The following is a 4,110-nucleotide window of genomic DNA, read 5'->3' on the forward strand; positions in this document are numbered from 1 at the left end:
ACAAAAAGAGATTTTCAAAACTAGTCAATCAAAAGAAAGGTTCAACTCTGTCAGTTGAATGCACATATCACAAACAAGTTTCTCGGAATGCGTCTGTGTAGTTTTTATGTGAAGATATTTCCTTCTCCACAACAGGCCTCAAAGTGCTCCGAATATCCACTTGCAGATTTTACTAAAGAGTGTTTCCAAACTGCTCAATCAAGAGGAAGTTTCAAGTCTGTGAGCTGAACGCACACATCACAAAGTAGTTTCTGAGAATGCTTCTGTGTAGTTTTTATGTGAAGATGTTTCCTTTTCCACCATAGGCTGCAAAGGGCTCCAAATATCCACTTGCAGATTCTACAAAAAGAGAGTTTCAAAAGTGCTCTATCAAAAGATAGGTTCAACTATGTGATATGAATGCACACATCACAAAGTAGTTTCTCAGAATGCTTCTGTGTAGTTTTTATGTAAAGATATTTCCTTTTCCACCATAGGCCTCAAAGCACTCCAAATATCCACTTGCAGATTCTACAAAAAGAGATTTTCAAAACTATTTAATCAAAAGAAAGGTTCAAATCTGTCAGTTGAAGGTACATATCACAAACAAGTTTATTGGAATGCTTCTGTGTAGTTTTTATGTGAAGATATTTCCTTTTCCACAACAGGCCTCAAGGTGCTCCAAATATCCACTTGCAGATTTCACTAAAAGTGTGTTTCCAAGCTGCTCAATCAAGAGGAAGTTTCAAGTCTGTGAGGTGAATGCACACATTACAAAGAAGTTACTGAGAATGCTTCTGTGTAGTTTTTATGTGAAGATATTTCCTTTTCCACCGCAGGCCTCAAAGCGCTGCAAATATCCACTTGCAGATTCTACAAAAAGAGAGTTTCAAAACTGCTGTATCAAAAGATAGGGTCAACTCTGCGAGTTGAATAAGCACATCACAAATAAGTTTCTGGGAACGCTTCTGTATAGTTTTATGTGAATATATTTCCTTTTCCACCATATGCCTCAAAGCACTCCAAATATCCACTTGCACATTATAGAAACATAGTCTTTCAAAACTTGTCAATCAAAGAAAGGTTCAACTCCGTGAGATGAGTGCACACATCACAGAGAAGTTTCTCGGAATGTTTCTGTGTAGTTTTTATGTGAAGATATTGCCTTTTCCACAATAGGCCTCAAAGCGTTCCAAATATCCAATTGCCAGATTCCACAAAAAAAGTTTCTCAGAATACTTCTGAGTAGTGTTTATGTGAAGATATTTCCTTTTCCACCATAGGCCTGAAAGCCCTCCAAATATCCACTTGCAGATCCTACAAAAAGAAAGTTTCGAAATGCTCTCTCAAACGATAGTTTCGACTCTGTGGTATGAATACACACACACATCACAAAGAAGTTTCTCAGAATGCTTCTGTGTAGTTTTTAAATGAAGATATTTCTTTTTCCACCATAGGCCTCAAAGCACTCCAAATATGCACTTCCAGATTCTACAAAAAGAGTGTTTCAGAACTGCTCAATCAAAAGGAAGGTTCCAGTCTGAGACAAATACACACATCAAAAGGTAGTTTCTCAGAATGCTTCTGTGTAGTTTTTATGTGAAGATATTTTCCTTTCCACCATAGGCCACAAATGGCTCTAAATACCCACTTACATTTTCCACAAAAAGAGAGTTTCAAAACTGCTCTACCAAAGGTAAGTTTAACGCTGTGAGTTAAGAACATCACAAAGAAGTTTCTCAGAATGCTTCTGTGTAGTTCTTACGTAAAGATATTTCCTTTTACACAATAGGCAGAAAAGTGCTCCAAATATCCACTTGAAGATTCTACAGAAACCGTGTTTCAAAACTGCCGAATCAAAAGAAAGGTTCAACTCTGTGAGATGAATGCACACATAACAAAGGAGTTTCTCAGAATGCTTCTGTGTAGCTTTTATATGAAGACATTTAGTTTTCCACAACAGGCCTCAAAGCTCTCTCCATATCCACTTGCAGATTCTACCGAAAGAGTGCTTCCAAACTGCTCAATCAAAAGAGACATTCAAATCTGTGAGGTGAATGCAGACATCGTAAAGAAGTTTCTCAGAATGCTTCTGTGTATTTTTTGTGTGAAGTTATTCGTTTTTGCACCATAGGCCTCCAAGCGTTCTAAATATCCACTTCTAGATTCTACAAAAAGAGAGTTTCAAAACTACTCAAACAAAAGGTTCAATTCTGTGAGTTGAAAGCAAACATCACAAAGAAGTTTCTCAGAATGCGTCTGTGTAGTTTTGATGTGAAGATATTTCCTTTTCACAGTAGAATGCAAAGGGCTCCAAATATCCACTTGGAGATTCTACAAAAAGAGTTTCAAAACCGCTCTGTCAAATGATAGGTTGAACTCCCGGAGGTGAATACACACATCACAAAGCGGTTTCTCAGCATGCTTCTGTGTAGTTTTTATGTAAACATATTTCCGTTTCTATCATAGGCCTCAAAGTGCTCCAAATATTCACTTGTACATTCTACCAAACGAGTATTTCAAAACTGCTCAATCAAATGGAAGGTTCAAAACCGTGACATGAATGCCCACATCACAAAGTAGTTTCTCAGAATGCTTCTGTGTAGTTTTTATGTGAAGATATTTCCTTTTCCACAACAGCGTGCAAAACGCTTCAAATATGCCCTTAGAGATTCCACAAAAAGAGTGTTTCCAAACTACTCAAATCAAAAAATGATTTCAACTCTGTGAGATGAATGCACACATCACAAACTAGTTTCTCAGAATGTTTCTGCCTGGTTCTCATGCGAAGATAGTTCCTTTTTCACCATAGGCCGCAATGTACTCCAAATATCCACCTGCAGATTCTACAAAAGTGAGTTTCAAAACTGCTCTATCAAAAGATCAGTTCGTCTCTGTGAGTTGAATGCATACATCAAAAAGAAGCTTCTCAAAATGCTTCTGTGTGGTTTTTCGGTGAAGATAGTTCTTTTTCTACCATAGGTCTCAAACCACTCCAAATATCCACTTGTAGATTCTATAAAAAGGAATGTTCAAAATTGCTCAATAAAAATAAAGTTTCAACACCGTGAGATGAGTGCACAAATCACAAAGGAGTTTCTCAAAATGCTTCTGGGTAGTTTTTCTGTGAAGATAGTTCCTTTTCTACCATGGGCCACAAAGGGCTCCAAATACCCACTTGCAGATTCTACAAAAAGAGAGTTTCACAACTGCTCTATCAAACAATATGTTCAACTTTGTGGGTTGAACACAAATATCACAAGAATTTTCTCCCAATGCTTCTGTGTAGTTTTTATGTGAAGACATTTCTTTTCCCTCCATAGTCCACAAAGTGCTCCAAATATCCACTTACATATTCTAGAAAAAGATTGCTTGGAAACTGCACAATGAAAAGAAAGGTTCAAATATATGAGATGAATGCACACATCACAAAGAAGTTTCTCAGAATCTCTCTGTGTAATTTTTATGTGAAGATATTTCCTTTCCCACCTTAGGTCTTAAAACGCTCCAAATATCCACTTGCAGATACTACAAGAAGATTGTTTCAAAACTGCACAAAAAAAGAAATGTTCAATTCTGTTTGATGAATGCACACATCACAAAGAAGTTTCTCAGAATGCTTCTCTGTAGTTTTTATGTGAAGATATTTCCTTTTCCACAATAGGCCTCAAAGGGCTCCAAATATCCACTTCCAGATTCTATGAAAAGAATATTTCCAAACTGCTCAATCATAGGAAATGTTCAACTCTGTGAGATGAATGCACACATCACAAGAAATTTCTCAGAATCCTTCAGTGTAGGTTTTATGAGAAGATAATTCCTTTTCCACAATAGTTCTCAAAGCACTCAAAATATCCACTTGCAGATTCTACAAAAGGAGTATTTCAAAACTGCTCAATCAAAAGAAAGGTTCAACTCTGTGAGATGAATGGACACATCACAAAGAAGTTTCTCAGAATGCTTCTGTGTAGTATTTTTGTGAAGATATTTCTTTTCCACCATAGACCGCCAGGGGACACAAATATCCACTTTCAGATTCTACAACAAGAGAGGTTCAAAACTACTCGATCAAGAGATGGTTTCAACTATGTGAGTTGAATGCACACATCACAAAGAACTATGTCGGAATTC

Source organism: Homo sapiens, chromosome Y (genome assembly GCF_000001405.40).
Source record: "Homo sapiens chromosome Y, GRCh38.p14 Primary Assembly".
Lineage (NCBI taxonomy): Eukaryota > Metazoa > Chordata > Mammalia > Primates > Hominidae > Homo > Homo sapiens.